Raw genomic sequence first — 17,155 nt, forward strand, 5'->3', positions numbered from 1 at the left:
AATCGCTTGAACTTGGGAGGCAGAGGTTGCAGTGAGCTGAGACTGCACCACTGTACTCCAGACTGGGCAACGGAGTGCGAAACTTATTTTATTTTGTTTATTTTTTTATTTTTATTTTTTATTTATTTTATTTTTTTGAGACAGGGTCTCCCGCTCTCACCCAGGCTGGAGTGCAGAGGCATGATCATAGCTCACTGCAGCCTCAAAACCCTGGGCTTATGCATCCACCTGCCTCAGCCTCCTAAGTAGCTGGGACTACAGGTACAAACCACACCCAGCTAAAACAGTGATATCCTTTTAATAGCATTAAACAAATGCTGTAACATATCCCAAATCAAGCGCAGTTCCCACTTGTAAACATACAAGACTGTAATTCAGGAATCCATATTTCCCTAGCAGAAGTGCTGGCATTATCAGTAAGTGAAATGAACACATGGTAGTGAGCTGACTTAGGTTCTGGTGTTGCCACCCTGCTCCATGAGGACAAGGTTAAACATTTTGGACATGTCCATATTGAGACACAGAACTTTAGAAAAAGCATTTCTACAACATTCCTTTTTATTAAGTGAGAGGAAATAGTAACAGGTACCGTGTCACTTAAGGAATTAGAAATGGTAGATGTGGAGAAGAAGTAGGAACACTATCTGTCGGATATATGTCTGAAATCAGTATATTTGGTAATAAGAAAGTCTGTAAGTATGTCCTGAAATTCTTTTTTTTTTTTTGAGACGGAGTCTTGCTCTGTTGCCAGACTGGAGTGCAGTGGTGATGTTGGCTTACTGCAACCTCCGCCTCCTGGGTTTGAGCGATTCTTGTGCCTCAGCCTCCTGAGTAGCTGGGACTACAGGCACCTGCCACCACACCGGCTAATTTTTGTATTTTTAGTAGAGACGGGGTTTCACCATGTTGGTGAGGCTGGTATTGAACTCCTGACCTCGTGATCCACCTGCCTCGGCCTCCCAAAGTGCTGGGATTACAGGCATGAGCCACTGCACCCGGCCAATATCACAACTTTTAACTACTTGTGTGGTTTCAGCTACAGTGTCTTCATTTGACTTAGTTCAATTGTTTTGTCTAAAATCCAAAAACTGTTCTTTGAAAATATACTTTCCCATCCATTAAGGCATTTAGCTTTTTGTTGCTAAAAAGAATTTCATAAGAACATTTAGAATTTTAAACTTAATTAAAATACACTGAACTTTGACACAGATGTGCAGCTCCAAAACCTTTCCAGTTTACAAGTAAATTATCTACTTACATCAGGGGTCAGACTTTTAGCAATGACGGGCCCAACCATTCCTGGAATAGTGGCAAATGTATTTGTGATGCCCAGGAGGATACCAGCATACCTGTAGAAACATTTTCATAGACGTTTATTATTGTGATACACATTTAAACAGCTTCATTCTTTCCTTCTTTTTTTTTTTTTTTTTTGAGACAGAGTCTCACTCTGTGGCCCAGGCTTGAGGGCAGTGGGATGATCTCAGCTCACTGCAGCCTCTGCCTCCCGGGTTCAAGCATGCCTTAGCCTCCTGAGTAGCGGGGACTACAGGCATCCACCATCATGCTGGGCTAGTTTTGTATTTTTAGTAGAGCCGGTGTCTCACCATGTTGGCCAGGCTGCTCTCGAGCTCCTGACCTCAAGTGATCTGCCTGCCTCGGCCTCCCAAAGTGCTGGGATTTCAAGTATGAGCCACAGCGCCTGGCTGCTTCTTTCAATAGACAGCTATTCTGCTCCAGGTTGTGTTCTTGTGAAATTTTATGTCTAAATAAAATGTCTTATTGCAATGGGATTTTATATTCAGCTGGTGAAAAACTTGCATTTCAATAGTTAAGTAGCATTTTAACATTAACATTAGGCCCGGCCGCCACCCCGTCTGGGAAGTGAGGAGCGTCTCTGCCTGGCCGCCCATCGTCTGGGAAGTGAGGAGACCCTCTGCCTGGATGCCCAGTCTGGAAAGTGAGGAGCGTCTCTGCCCGGCCGCCATCCCATCTAGGAAGTGAGGAGCGCCTCTTCCCGGCAGCCATCCCATCTGGGAAGTGAGGAGCGTCTCTGCCCGGCCGCCCATCGTCTGAGATGTGGGGAGCGCCTCTGCCCCGCCGCCCCGTCTGGGATGTGAGGAGCGCCTCTGCCTGGCCCCGACCCCGTCTGGAAGGTGAGGAGCGTCTCTGCCCAGCCGCCCCGTCTGAGAAGTGAGGAGCCCCTCCGCCCGGCAGCCGCCCCGTCTGAGAAGTGAGGAGCCCCTCTGCCCGGCAGCCACCCCGTCTGGGAAGTGAGGAGCGTCTCCGCCCGGCAGCCGCCCCGTCCGGGAGGGAGGTGGGGGGGTCAGCCCCGCGCCCGGCCAGCCGCCCCGTCCGGGAGGGAGGTGGGGGGGTCAGCACCCCGCCTGGCCAGCCGCCCCGTCCGGGAGGGAGGTGGGGGGGTCAGCCCCCCGCCCGGCCAGCCAACCCGTCCGGGAGGTGAGGGGAGCCTCTGCCCGGCCGCCCCTACTGGGAAGTGAGGAGCCCTGCTGCCCGGCCAGCCGCCCCGTCCGGGAGGGAGGTGGGGGGGGGTCAGCCCCCCGCCCAGCCAGATGCCCCGTCCAGGAGGGAGGTGGGGTGGTCAGCCCCCCGCCCGGCCAGCCGCCCCGTCCGGGAGGTGAGGGGCGCCTCTGCCCAGCCGCCCCTACTGAGAAGTGAGGAGCCCCTCTGCCCGGCCAGCCGCTCCGTCCGGGAGGGAGGTGGGGGGGTCAGCCCCCTGCCCGGCCAGCCGCCCCGTCCGGGAGGTGAGGGGCGCCTCTGCCCGGCCGCCCCTACTGGGAAGTGAGGAGCCCCTCTGCCCGGCCACCACCCCGTCTGGGAGGTGTACCCAACAGCTCATTGAGAACGGGCTGGGATGACAATGGCGGTTTTGTGGAATAGAAAGGGGGGAAAGGTGGGGAAAAGATTGAGAAATCGGATGGTTGCCGTGTCTGTGTAGAAAGAAGTAGACATGGGAGACTTTTCATTTTGTTCTGTACTAAGATACATTCTTCTGCCTTGGGATCCTGTTGATCGGTGACCTTACCCCCAACCCTGTGCTCTCTGAAACATGTGCTGTGTCCACTCAGGGTTAAATGGATTAAGGGCGGTGCAAGATGTGCTTTGTTAAACAGATGCTTGAAGGCAGCATGCTCGTTAAGAATCATCACCACTCCCTAATCTCAAGTACCCAGGGACACAAACACTGCGGAACGCCGCAGGGTCCTCTGCCTAGGAAAACCAGAGACCTTTGTTCACTTGTTTATCTGCCGACCTTCCCTCCACTATTGTCCTATGACCCTGCCAAATCCCCCTCTGTGAGAAACACCCAAGAATGATCAATAAAAAAAATAAAAATTAACAACAACAACAACAACAAAAAACATTAACATTAGAGGAAGGCTGGGCGCGGTGGCTCACGCTTGTAATCCCAGCACTTTGGGAGGCCGAGGCGGGTGGATCACGAGGTCAGGAGATCGAGACCATGCTGGCTAACATGGTGAAACCCCGTCTCTACCAAAAATACAAAAAAATTAGCCGGCCGTGATGGCAGGCGCCTCTAGTCCCAGCTACTCGGGAGGCTGAGGCAGGAGAATGGCGTGAACCTGGGAGGCGGAGCTTGCAGTGAGCAGAGATCGCGCCACTGCACTCCAGCCTGGCCGACAGAGCGAGACTCCGTCTCAAAAAAAAAAAAAAAAAAATTACATACAGGAACACAGCCATGGAAATAACCCCTTTTTATAGTGATATAGGAAAGTTCTGAGATATCATTTTCATACAGAAAGCTTAGCATGTCTAGCTTAAAGTTTTTTAAGTTAAAAAAAATTTCTTTCCTGATTTGAAAATTCAATTGTAATTAATTTTTGAAAATTAATACGAAAAAAGAAAAAAATAATGAAGTAAAATTACCTATAATTCTTCCCCATAGAGATGATCAACATTAACATTTTCATAAATATCCTATTTTTTTCTGTCTGTATATATTTCTAGTATGTTATTATAGACGTGAGATCATATCAAACATAAAATTTGCTTGTTCCATTAATTACATTTTTTTTTTTGAGACGGAGTCTCTGTCGCTCAGGCTGGAGTACAGTGGCGCGATCTCAGCTCATTGCAACCTCCGCCTCCTAGGTTCAAGTGATTCTTCTGCTTCAGCCTCCCAAGTAGCTGGGACTATACACGCATGCCATGTAGGTCAGGCTGGTCTTGAACTCCTGATCTCAGGTGATCCACCTGCCTCAGCCTCCCAAATTGCCAAATTGCTGGGATTACAGGCGTGAGCCACTGCACCTGGCCCGATAATTCATTTTTAAAATTGCTGCCTCTTTTTTTTTTTTTTTTTGAGACAGAGTTTCACTCTTGTTGCCCAGACTGGAGTGCAATGGTGTGATCTTGGCTCATTACAACTTCCACCTCCCCAGTTCAAGTGATTCTCCTTCCTCAGCCTCCTGAGTAGCTGGGATTACAGGCATGCACCACCATACCTGGGTAATTTTGTATTTTTAGTAGAAACGGGGTTTCACCACGTTGGTTAGGCTGGTCTCAAACTCCTGACCTCAGGTGATCCACCTGCCCCAGCCTCCCATAGTGCTGGGATTACAGGAGCGAGCCACTGCGCCTGGCCTAAAATTGCTGTCCCTTTACTAGGATGTTTGTCCTGTATATATTCATGAATTCTGGACTTTGAAGATTGTATCTCTTAGGTATCATTTCACATAATCTTATACCTCCTGTATTTCCTGTACACTGATAGTTTCTAGACTCTAGATCCTAGGGGGTTCATTAGATTTAGGTTTAATGTTTTTGGTAAAAAACAAAAACAAAAACAAAAAACAAAAAAAAAACACTTAAAGGAGAAGGAGGAGTTCAGTTAAAAAAAGTGCTGCTTAACTAATTCAGTTATGTATAAAGATCACAAAGTTTTATGTTCAAAACTTGTGCATACACACAGCACTATAACAAAACCATGAAGTACAGATCTTTTTGGCTCATCCCCTTTAGGGGTGTATCTAAATTAACCAAGCTTGGCAGAGCCTCTCTTTTTTTTTTTTCTTTTTAAACCATTAACACCTTGGCAGTAAGAGGAGTCAACTGCAATGTTGCCAGCCTTTCCAGTGACAGATATTAAGTGCAGACGAATGCCATGAAATTCTAAATGTCAGCAACAAGAAGCTCATTCAAGTACTTATATTTCACTTGGCCAGGACAGGCCATGAAAGATTGATGACCACTTGGAAGAAAACAAGTTGTATGGACTCAGTCTGGATTCTGTGCTGTTGGAGTACTATTGGAATTAATAGCTGAAAATCTATCTAATTCCCATGAATTCGGGCAACAAAATTACCATAGAAAAATCTCTATTTTGGGGCCGGGTGTGGTGGTGCATGCCTGTAATCCCAGCATTTTGGGAGGCTGAGGTGGGAGAATTGCTTGAGCCCAGGAGTTTGAGACTAGCCTGGGCAACATGGTGAAACCCTCTCTCTACAAAAACTAAAAAAACACACAAAATTAGCTGGGTGTGTTGGCTCAGGCTGTAGACCCGCTCGCTACTCAGGAGGCTGAGGTGGAGGATTGCAGGAGGATTGCTTGCGACTGCAGTGAGCCGTGGTCTTGCTGCTGTACTCCAGCCTGGGTGACAGGGTGTGACTCTGCCTCAAAAGATAATAAATACATTGATAACATAAAATCTCTATTTCAGTCTATAGAAGTAAAGGCCTATAAAATCCAAGTACACATTTATATGTTAATAGGAATATTATTTATTGGAAAACCTTGTATCTGTTTACTGACTATGTATTGGAAAACCTGATATCAGACATGTTTATAAGGGTTTTATATATCATATTATATCATTTTAATTATAAAATCAACCCCATGAGGAAGGATTATCTTCATTTTATTTTTAAAATTTTAAAATTTTGTTAAGTTTTTTAGAGGTACGATCTTGCTATATTGCCCAGGCAGGTCTTGAACTGCTGGGCCCAAACGATCCTCCCACCTTGGCCTTCCGAAGTCCTGGGATTACAGGCGAGAGCCACTGCACCCAGCTGGATTATCTTCATTTTATAGATGAAGAAAAACCATAAAATGTCACCCAATTTGTCTGATTCTGAATCAGTACTTAATATTATAATGTTATAATCTACAATGCTACCTTGTTAAAAAAAACAAAACACAGTAATCACTGAACCCAATCTGTAGGAAAGATAAATTTTCTCATGCTTCATTTTTCACCACAAGCCCTGGTGTTGAACTTGTTTATGGCTTGTTTATGGTCCTCAAGTGCCTCTGTTTTAACTAGTAGCGTATTACACTGAATGGGCCCTCAGTTGTTACCACAACAAAAAGCAACTATGAAAAACCTAAGATATGTAATCCCCAATAAGATATGTAGCCAAGACTCCTGCAACTAGAAATAACTGATGTGCTTTGAATGAAGAAATTCCAGTTGGAAAAGAAAAACTAAAAAGCTCATCTGAAGAGCTGAATCAAAATATAAGAAAGTTATCCTTTGAGCTAGAACTGCAAGGTTTAAACACACACACACACACACACACACACACACACACACACTAAGGGAGATAAATAATTTTGACTTTGGGCTGGGCATGGTGGCTCACGCCTGTAATCCTAGCACTTTGGGAGGTTGAGGCTGGCGGATCACCTGAGGTCGGGAGTTCGAGACCAGCATGACCAACATGGAGAAACTCCCTCTCTACTAAAAATACAAAATTAGCAGGGTGTGGTGGCACATGCCTGTAATCCCAGCTACTTGGGAGGCTGAGGCAGGAGAATCACTTGAACCCAAGAGGCAGAGGTTGCGGTGAGCTGAGATTGCACCATTGCACTCCAGCCTGGGCAACAAGAGTGAAACTCCATCTCAAAAACAAAACAAAACAAAAAACAAATAATAATAATTTTGAATTTGATGAGATTTATTTATTTATTTATTTATTTAATTTTTTGAGACTGAGTCTCACTCTGCAGCCCAGGCTGGAGTGCAGTAGCACAATCTCTGCTCACTGCAACCTCCAACTCCTGGGTTCAAGCAATTCTCATGCCTCAGCCTCCTGAGTCAGTGGGATTATAGTCGCCCGCCACCACACCTGGTTAATTTTTGTATTTTTAGTAGAGATGGGGTTTCACCATGTTGGTCAGGCTGGTCTGGAGCTCCTAACCTCAAACGATCCAACCGCCTCAGCCTCCCAAAGTGCTGGGATTACAGGCATGAGCCACCTCACCGGGCCTACTTACATTTGGAATAGTTGTGTCTCAGTCAGCTGAGAACCAGTACAGCAGTCCTCATTATCTGAGGCACAAAGGCACTTGCTTACCATCCTCCCAACTGCTACAACTATTTGCTGGCATCATTTATGTTACTAAACCTGTTTAGCTTCTTATGATATCTAGATAAATGTCTTTTTCGGCTTATAAGACTCATAAAATTTCAGGGTTGGACCTGGGTCTTTAAGATGTAGACTTCAACCACCCACCTGATGCTTGAAGCTCAGGCACAGGATCCCCCTGCTGCCTGTCCAGCATTATACTTCATGACATGACCCACCATCATCCAGGCCAGCTTAAGCTTATACAGATGCCAGCAGGAATCATGTTACTTTCATGTTTGTGTCTTCAACATCTGGTACAGTGCCTGGCACAGTGTTTCTCAAATGACTAGATCCGTTAATGAGCATGCTATTACACTGAAATTTAGTAGTGACAAATTTATCTAATTGTACATCCAATTCATCTTTCTCCACCTTGTCCAAAACGGCATCTATCATAGGAGGCCTGGCTGAAGTCCTGACATATCAAATCTACTATATTTTCTTTATTCTATTAGGCTAAAAATTATGTTGAGAAGTTAGACTGTTTTGCCATTTTGGCTCTTAGTGACCCAATGGTGGCTCTTTAGTGGTCAGCATTTTCCTTTCTGAAAGCACACCAATCATCACTTTAATATTTTACTTGGATTGATCTGTGACCCTGGTCACCACACCTGACTCAAAGTTAGCCAGAAAATAATTACATCTATTGCATTATATGCAAATACCTTTATTGCATTATGAGCAAAGTGTTCTGTGCGTGTTCTATTTAATCTTCACAACGATCTTATAAGGTAGGTACCATGGATATTTGGTTTTCTTTTTCTTCAGCATCTATTTTCATCTTTTGACAATAGCACTATTTTTTTTTTTTTTGAGATGGAGTTTCACTCTTGTCACCCAGGCTAGAGTGCAATTGCTCACTGCAACCTCCACCTCCCAGGTTCAAGTGATTTTCTGCCTCATCCTTCCAAGTAGCTGGGATTACAGGTCCTACCACCCCACCTGGCTAATTTTATATTTTTAGTAGAGACAGAGTTTCACCATGTTGGCCAGGCTGGTCTTGAACTCCTGACCTCAGGTGATCTGCCCACCTTGGTCTCCCAAAGTGCCGGGATTACAGGCATGAGCCATTACACCCGGCCGACCATAGCTCCAATTTTTATCCGATGATCCAATTTTCTTTCATTGCTAGTTCAAGAGAGCAGGGGGGGCCCTCATCAGATTCCAGAGATTCTAATAAGACTTCAGGAACCTGATGAATCCTAAGCTACCTTTCAGATTTATTAAATGGTGTGGGTGACTTACCACCTTCTGGCTGGATGGCTGCTGAACCAATTTTATGTTCCTTATAATTTTTTTTTTTTTTTTTTTGAGATGGAGTCTCACTTTGTCACCCAGGCTGGAGCACAGTGGCACAATCTTGGCTCACAGCAACCTCTGCCTCCCGGGTTCAAGCGATTCTCCTGCCTCAGCCTCCTGAGAAGCTGAGACTACAGGTGTGTGCCATCACACCCTGCTAATTTTTGTATTTTTAGTAGAGATGGGGTTTCACCATGTTGGCCAGGCTGATCTCGAACTCCTGACCTCAGGTGATCCACCCGCCTCAGCCTCCCAAAGTGTTGGGATTACAGGCGTGAACTACCGTGCCCGGCTCAAAATGACTCATGTTTATTTACATCTTCATGTGTTATAATGGATGTTACCGATGGATTCCTCAGCATCCATTCCCACTCCCCACCCCCATCTGTGTAGCAATAGTGATGTCTGAGGGGCACTGACCCTTTGACTTCTAACTTTTGGGGTAGGTGCTGATTGTCCTAAAGTCACATGATATTCTCTTGGCCATTGGGGTTGGTTCATGTGACTCAGTTTGGGTCAACCAAAATGAAGCCCAGGACTTATTTCCATGGTGGAGAGAGGAAAAGATCCTTTTCTTTCTGCTTGATGTGAATGAAGAAGCATGTAGTCCTGATTGTTGCTGGCAATCATTTCATTGTGTGATTTTATAAGCAGACCCAGTCTTAGGACAAAACTACTACTGTAAAAGACAGAGAGTGAGAAAGAAACAATCTGTGGTGATATTAGTAGGCAGCTGGATATCAACTCTTGCCTGAAGCCTATTATTTCTGGATACAATTAAGTGAATCAATAGATTATGCTGTTTAGCCCAGTTTAAATTAGAATTTCTATACTTCAACTAAAAACATCCTAAGCGATAACATAGCCTAGAACTATTTCTTGCCAAAACTCTCAATTCCCATATCCCTTTGACTATTCGTCAATCCTAGGCTTGACAAAACCTCAAGTCTTGGCCAGGTGCTGTGGCCCACGCCTGTAATCCTAGCACTTCGGGGGGCTGAGGCGGGAAGATTACTTGAGGCCAGGAGACTGAGACCACCCTGGGCAAGATAGGGAGACCCCATCTCTACAAAATATTTTTTGAAAAATTAACCAGGCATGGTGATGTATGCCTGCAGTCCCAGCGACTCAGGAGGCTGAGCAGGAAGGATTACTTGATCCCAGGAGTTCAAGGCCACAGTGAACTACAGTGGCGTCACTGCACTCTAGCCTGGGTGACAGAGTGCAGCTTATCTTAGAGTATTTATTGAAGAGATAGGAGACTGAGGATTCATAGAAATCAGAAGATTCTGTAGGAGTCCAGGTGTGAAGATTTTGAGGTAGTGAAAAGAGGGTAAGAGTCCATCTGTCTTTTCTCCAAAATAAATTTATATCTATTATTTTTACAAATAAAGTGTATTAAAACTTTTGGGTTAAAATATTTACATAGCTCCCTTATTTACCTTGTCAGCTGGCACAAAATGGTTTTAGAAGTATGTGGCTCAAAGAATATTTCCAGAGAGGTAGCTGTAGAAAGAATTTTGGGCTTAAAAGTAAAAATTTTAGGTTCAAGTTTTGGCTCTATCATTTATTATATTAGCTGTGTGCTGCAAGATAAATCACTTAACTTCTCTTAAGTTTCTTTAGCGTTCAAATAGGGCAAAAATACTTACTTCAAAGGAATGCTTTAAGGGTAAAATGGATAGTGTTTATGAAAGTGATGTGTAAACTATCAAGGGCTACACAAATATATTTGCACATAGGTAATATAGTTAGACAAATCAATTGGGTCTACTCTTTCACATTCATTCATCTGACAAAATGCCTACTACATGCCAAGTGCCATGGAGAGCCCTGAGGACAATAAGGGAGTTTCTGCCTTCACAGAGTTCCTAGTCTAGTTGGGTGAACAGACACAGTAATGAGTTATTGCAATGTTCTAATGAGAGCACTGTGGACAGAGGTGATGATAGTTAAAAGTTTAAATTTAAAAACAACTTCCTGCTTTAATTATTGTGTAAATTAAAATCCTGTTAAGAATTTAAAGTCATTCCTATAGTAGTCAAATCCATAGAGGCAGAAAGTAGAATGTTGGTTGCCAGGGCCTGGGAGGAAGGAGAAATGGGAGATTGTGTTTAACGGGTACAGTTTCTGTTGAGAAGATGAAATTGCTCTAGAGATTGTTGGTGGTGCTAGTTATGAAACAATGTGAATACTTAATGCCACAGAACTGCATACTTAAAATGGTAAGTTTTATATCATATCTATTTTATCAGGTTTTTTTTTTTTTAGATGGAGTCTTGCTCTTGTTGCCCAGGCTGAAGTGCAATGATGCGATCTCAGCTCACTGCAACCTCTGCCTCCTGGGTTCAAGCGATTCTCCTGCCTCAGCCTCCTAAGTAGCTGGGATTACAGGTGCCCGCCATCATGCCTGGCTAATTTTTGTATTTTTAGTAGAGATAGGGCTTCGCCATGTTGGCCAGGCTGGTCTCAAACTCCTGACCTCAGGTTATCTGCCTGCCTTGGCCTCCCAAAGTGCTGGGATTACAGGTGTGAGTCACCGCCTCTGGCCTTTTATCAGGATTTTTAAAAATATAATTTAAAGTCAATCACAGCAAATCTTTATATTAGTACTCACGAAGGAGCAATATCCAGATGGTTGATGCTAAATCCAGAAGAGCAAAAGCCTCCCAGTGTTGTTGATATAGTTAGGAAAGCAACGGCCAAAGAATAATCACAGCCAATGAAGCCAGCAGCTACCAGGAATACTGCAGGTCCAATCATTCCTGGAGTTAAAAAGTTATAAAAGGGAAAAAACACCCAGCATTAATATTTGCTCTACCTTAATATGGTATAAATCTGAAATTTGAAATTGCTGCCACCTACTGTAGAAACACTATATTGCCTGGAAGACTAACAAATTTCATGAGAAAAAAAAAATGCTGGAAAACATGGGCGTAATACAACTAATATACTATAAAAGGAAAATCTCATTATGCAATGTTATTAAATCTACATGTGGCCAAAACTCAGCTAAAATTCCATGGTGTTAGAGAAGAACAAGACAAGAACAACTTAAAAATATGTTTCTAGAGAGAAGCAATAGCTGACACAGAATGTGGTTTAAAATACATATAACCAAAGGAGATAAACTGAATAATAAACTCTGTTGGATGAGGTTAGAATAATACTCCATCTTGCCTGGGTGTGGCAGCTCACACCTGTAATCCCAGCACGTTAGGAGGCTGAGGCGGGAGAATCACTTGAGGCCAGGAGTTTGAGGCCAGCCTGGGCAACACAGCAAGACCCTGTCTCTACGAAATATTAAAAACAAAATTCGCCAGGCATGGTGGTGCACACCTGTAGTCCTGGCTGCTCAGGAGGCTGAGGTGGGAGGATTGCTTGAGCCCAGAAGTTCAAGGTTACAGTGAGCTATGATGGCACCACTGCACTCCAGCCTGGGTTGTCAGAGCAAGACCTTGTTTCTTAAAAAGATTTTTTAAAATCTCTGTCTTCATTCTCTCTCTCTTTTTTTTGAGCTGGAGTCTCACTCTGTCACCCAGGCTGGAGTGCAGTGGCGTGATCTGGGCTCACTGCCACCTCTGCCTCCTAGGTTCAAGTGATTCTCCTGCCTCAGCCTCCTGAATAGCTGGAATTACAGGCCTGGGCCACCATACCCAGCTAATTTTTGTATTTTTAGTAGAGATGGGGTTTCGCCATGTTGGCCAGGCCGTTCTCGAACTCCTGACCTCAAGCGATCCACCCACCTTGCCTCCCAAAGTGCTGGGATTACAGGTGTGAGCCACCATGCCCGGCCTTGGTTTTTTTTTTTTCTGCCCCACCTAATATGCAGGAATCCTCCCTATTATTAACAACTGATAAGAATACACATTGGTCATTACAGGCAGTTAAGCGTAAAATATGAGAAGAGACTTAATGAGTGGGCTGTCAGTTTTTCTGTGTCTACAGCAGTGCTATCCAATAGCTCTCTGTGATGATGGAAATGTTGTATTTGTATATACTGCAACTGAGGAACTTTAAAAAAAGTTCAATTACATTTATTTACTTATTTATTTATTTTCTTGTTTTTTTGAGACAGGGTCTCACTGTCGTCAGGCTGGAGTGCAGTGGTGCGATCATGGCTCACTGCAGCCTTGACTTCCCAGGCTCAAGTGATCCTCTGCCTTGGCTTCCTGAGTAGCTGGGACTACAGGTGCACGCCACCATGTCTGATTTAATTTAATTTCATTACTTTTATTTATTTATTTTGAAATAGGGTCGCATTCTGTTACCCAGGCTGGAGTGCAGTGGCACAATCTGAGCTCACTGCAACCTCTGCCTCCCAGGTGTAAGCAAGTCTTGTGCCTCAGCCTCCTGAGTAGCTGGGATTAAAGGCATGTGCCACCATGCCTGGCTAATTTTTTTTTTTTCACTCTTTTTGCCCAGACTGGAGTGCAGTGGCGAAATCTTGGCTCACTGCAACCTCTGCCTCCCAGGTTCAAGCAATTCTCCTGCCTCGGCCTCCTGAATAGCTGGGACAGCCACACACCACCACGCCAAGCTAATCTTTGTATTAGAGATGGGGTTTCACCATGTTGGCCAGCCTGGTTTTGAGCTCCTGACCTCAAGTATCTGCCTGCCTCCGCCTCTGCCTCCCAAAGTGCTGGGATTACAGGCAACAGCCACCGAGCCCAGCCAGGGTCTTTTTATAATGTAATTACTGAAGTATAGTCACTGAGACTTCCAGGGTCTCTACTGGAGACTTTTAAAAAGTTAAATGATTGTCTTAGACAGTTTTATTTCTACGTACATTTTTTTCTAACTATTTTTAGAGATAGGGTATTGCTCTGTTGCCTAGGTTGGAGTGCAGTGTTGTGATCATAGCTCTCTGCAGCCTCAAACAACTAGGCTCAAGAGATTTTCTCACCTTAGCCTCTGGAGTAGCTGGGACTACAGATACATACCATCATGCCTAACTGATTAGATAGTTTTAAAAGTTACCTTTCTAGGCCAGGCACAGTGGCTCACGCCTGTAATTCCAGCACTTTGAAAGGCTGAGGTGGGAGGATCGCTTGAGCCCAGGAATTTGTGACTAACCTGAGCAACATGGTAAAACCATGTCTCTACAAAAAATCAAAAATAATTAGCTGGGTGCTGTGGCGTGACCTGTAGTCCCAGCTGCTCAGGAGACTGAGGTGGGAGAATTACTTGTGCCTAGAAGGTTGAGGCTGCAGTGAGCCATGGTTGTCCATCCTGGCCAACGGAGCAAGACCCTGTCTCAAAAAAAAAAAAAATTACCTTTCTGAAAGCAGAGTCTGAAACACATGATTATTTATGGGTTCTTTGAGTTCTTTGATTTATAGCTCCTTATTTGATATAATAATGCTAGTAAATATTTTTGGATTGAAACTTAAAATGCATTCACTTAGAAAAGGGATGGAGGCTTAAAAATACTTTGATTACATCTTGTCTAAAGTTGATATAAAAATCTTCATTGCAAAGTCTGAGCTGAAAGCACAGTGATATATAAAATTGTGAGGGATGATGTTTGGCACAGCAAGCCATTTTAAAAATAATTATAAGCCATGGTGGAGATAAATCTTTTATAAATTTTTTTTTTTTGAGACAGGATCTCACTCTGTTGCCCAGGCTGGAGTGCAGTGGCGCGATTTCAGCTCACTGCAACCTCTGCCTCCTGGGTTCAAGCAATTCTCCTGCTTCAGCCTCCCAGGTAGCTGGGATTACAGGCACTTGCCACCACGCCCAGCTAATTTTTGTATTTTTAGTAGACAGGGTTTCACCATGTTGGTCAGACTGGTCTTGAACTCCTGACCTTGTGATCTGCTCACCTCAGCCTCCCAAAGTGCTAGGATTACAGGCATAAGCCACTGCGCCCAGTGAATATTATAAATCTTAATCCTCAAAATGTATGATTCAAAAAGAAACATATTGTAAAGAAATGCACTTAAATGCATCATAGTGTTTTGTTATGTGAACAAAATAAAAGACTAATATTATCATTTTTATTTTGTCTTGAACTGTTGTGATATTGTGATTTTAAAAAATATGGCTGGGGGCTGGGTGTGGTGGCTCACACCTGTAATCCTAGCACTTTGGGAGGCTGAAGCAGCAGGATTGCTGAAGGCCAGGAGTTCAAGGCCAATGTGGGCAATAAAGCGAGACCTTGTCCCATTAAAGAAAGAAATTAAACAAAATGGCTGGGGCTGGGTGTGGTGCCTCACTCCTGTAGTCCCAGCACTTTGGGAGGCCAAGGCGGGCAGATGACTTGAGTTCAGGAGTTAAAGACCAGCCTGGACAACGTGGTGAAACCCCGTCTTCAGTAAAAATTAAAAAATTAGCTGGGTATGGTGGTGTGTGCCTGTAGTCCTAGCTACTCAGGAGGCTGAGGTGGGAGGATCACCTGAGGCTGAGGAGGTTGAGGCTGCAGTGAGTCAAGATCATGCCACCACACTCCAGCCTGGGCTAAGAGTGAGCCCCTGTCTCAAGAAAAAAAATAAGAAAAGAAATATGGCCAGTGTGGTGGCTCATGTCTGTAATCCCAACATTTTGGGATGCTGAGGCAGGAAGATCACTTGAGGCCAGGAATTCAAGACCAGACGGGGCAACATAGCAAGACCCCATTTCTATTAAAAAATTGTTTTAAAAAAGAAATATATATTTGGTCTCTGCCCCCGGTTTTTTGGCACACAGCTCCTAAAACTTTTGGAATTTCTGGAGTGGTAACAGTGTCTTTTGTATGCTAATGAGACAATTGGTGGCTGGGGGTCCCCATACAGCTTCAGGATGGTGGCTGGATTAGAGGTCTGGGACTTTTGGCACCACCCCCAAACTCCAGAGAGGGGAGAGGGGCTGAAGGTTGAGCCAGTCACCAATGGCCAATGATTTAATCAATCATACACATTTAACGAAGTCTCCATACAAACTCAAAGGGACAGGGTTTGGATGAACTTTTGCGGTCGGGGTTCTTGGAGGGTGGTGTTCCAGGAGAGGGCATGAAAACTCCCTACCCGGTCCCACATATGTTGCCCTATGCAGCTTTTCCATCTGGCTGTTCATCTATATCCTTTGCAATACCCTTTATAATAAGTGGGTAAACATAAAATAAAGTGTTTCTCTGAGTTCTCTGAGATGCTCTAGCAGATTAACTGAACCTGACAAGACAGTCATGGGAACCCTGATTTATAGCCGGTCAGTCAGAAGCAGAGGTCACAAGCTGGGACTTGTGATTGGTATCCGAAGTAGGGGGGCGATCTTGTGGAACTGAGCCCTCAACCTATAGGATCTGATGCTACCGCCAGCTGGACAGTGTCAGAACTGAATTACAGGATACCTAGCTGGTGTCCGCTGCAGAACTGGTTATGTGTAGGCAGAAATCCCCACAAACATTTTGGTGATTAGAGCGAGGTGTTCTGTGTTGAGTATTGTGTTAACTGTGTGTAAAAGTGGGAAACACACTTTGTTTTCCTATCTCCTATAACTGTAAACATGGTAAATAACTGTAAACCAAAACAAAACCTGATTGCTTCACTTACCTATAAGGCTAAAAATTCTGCGAACACATAAAGTTGAAAAATTCCATTTTGCCCTTAAATTGTCAGCAGCTTGACCAGACAGGATCATACATAACCAAGAGCCTAAATAAGGCAATGAAGATAAAAACCCATTCTGGAAGGAATAAGAAGATACAGGATTAATTACGGTGAGAGAAAAAAACAAAACATACACATTCATCACAGCCAATGACCACCACTTGAAAGCAAAGGAAATGCATAGCAATATGTTGTTAATTTTTTAATATAATTACAGTAAATAAGTCTGGCTGTCAGAAGGATTATAGGGTTCAGTCCAAGGCAGTCCCTAAGAGTCTGTCTCAGAGGGAAATAAGCCTTGCCCTAGTCCTGTCTGCTTCGGGTAATCTTGACTGTTTCTCTGGGATCTGGGTTGTGAGAGAAGACAAACCTTCCTGTTAGCCTATGGATTCTCCCTACTGAACATTTTCATCTTCCATTCTCACTCATTTATTTAAAAAAAATTTTTTTTACTATAAAATAAAATGCAGATGCAGAAAACCACATAAACATAGCTTAATGAATCATTCTTTTTTTTTTTTTTTTTTTTTTTGAGATGGAGTCTTACTCTGTCACTCAGGCTGGAGTACAGGGGTGTGATCTCGACTCACTGCAACCTCTGCCTCCTGGGTTCAAGTGATTCTCCTGCCTCAGCCTCCCGAGTAGCTGGGGTTACAGGTGCCTGCTACCACACCTGGCTAATTTTTGTATTTTTATTAGAGACGGAGTTTCACCGTCTTGGCCAGGCTGGTCTTGAACTTCTGACCTTGTGATCCACCCACCTTGGCCTCCCAAAGTACTGGGATTACAGGCATGAGCCACCGCACCCGGCCTCATGAGTCTTTCTAATGACCATCTAGGTCAAGAAATAGAACTTTGCCAGCCTTGCCAGAAGAC

At 44.2% G+C, this 17,155-nt stretch overlaps 1 protein-coding gene across 11 annotated transcripts in view, besides 3 other annotated features; it reads right to left on the reverse strand.

Moving 5' to 3' along the window:
• The window catches only part of SLC17A5 (solute carrier family 17 member 5), a 60,614-nt gene that overhangs the window by 5,714 nt on the left and 37,745 nt on the right, over positions 1-17,155 (reverse strand). For 9 of the 11 annotated variants that reach the window (NM_001382636.1, NM_001382629.1, NM_001382632.1 and 6 more), the window contains 3 exons: positions 16,223-16,355; positions 11,308-11,455; positions 1,259-1,349 (listed from right to left, as the gene is read on the reverse strand). In NM_001382636.1, coding sequence (NP_001369565.1) covers positions 1,259-1,349; positions 11,308-11,455; positions 16,223-16,355 — 372 coding nt within the window. Of the gene's footprint in view, positions 1-1,258; positions 1,350-11,307; positions 11,456-16,222; positions 16,356-17,155 lie in introns of those variants that run through there. The other 2 variants (NM_001382630.1, XM_047418630.1) reach the window with 2 other exon arrangements.
• Positions 10,369-10,538: an enhancer, noted in NCBI's record as "experimental_94402 CRE fragment used in MPRA reporter constructs". NCBI's record gives its function as "activates a minimal promoter by MPRAs in K562 erythroleukemia cells, with activity observed for the non-introgressed 6:74319269 variant allele {active_cell/tissue: K562}" and the evidence as "EXISTENCE:reporter gene assay evidence [ECO:0000049][PMID:34662402]".
• Positions 12,300-12,469: an enhancer, noted in NCBI's record as "experimental_94403 CRE fragment used in MPRA reporter constructs". NCBI's record gives its function as "activates a minimal promoter by MPRAs in K562 erythroleukemia cells, with activity observed for both the introgressed and non-introgressed 6:74321200 variant alleles {active_cell/tissue: K562}" and the evidence as "EXISTENCE:reporter gene assay evidence [ECO:0000049][PMID:34662402]".
• Positions 16,512-16,681: an enhancer, noted in NCBI's record as "experimental_94405 CRE fragment used in MPRA reporter constructs". NCBI's record gives its function as "activates a minimal promoter by MPRAs in K562 erythroleukemia cells, with activity observed for the introgressed 6:74325412 variant allele {active_cell/tissue: K562}" and the evidence as "EXISTENCE:reporter gene assay evidence [ECO:0000049][PMID:34662402]".

Source organism: Homo sapiens, chromosome 6 (genome assembly GCF_000001405.40).
Source record: "Homo sapiens chromosome 6, GRCh38.p14 Primary Assembly".
NCBI classification, from domain to species: Eukaryota; Metazoa; Chordata; class Mammalia; order Primates; family Hominidae; genus Homo; species Homo sapiens.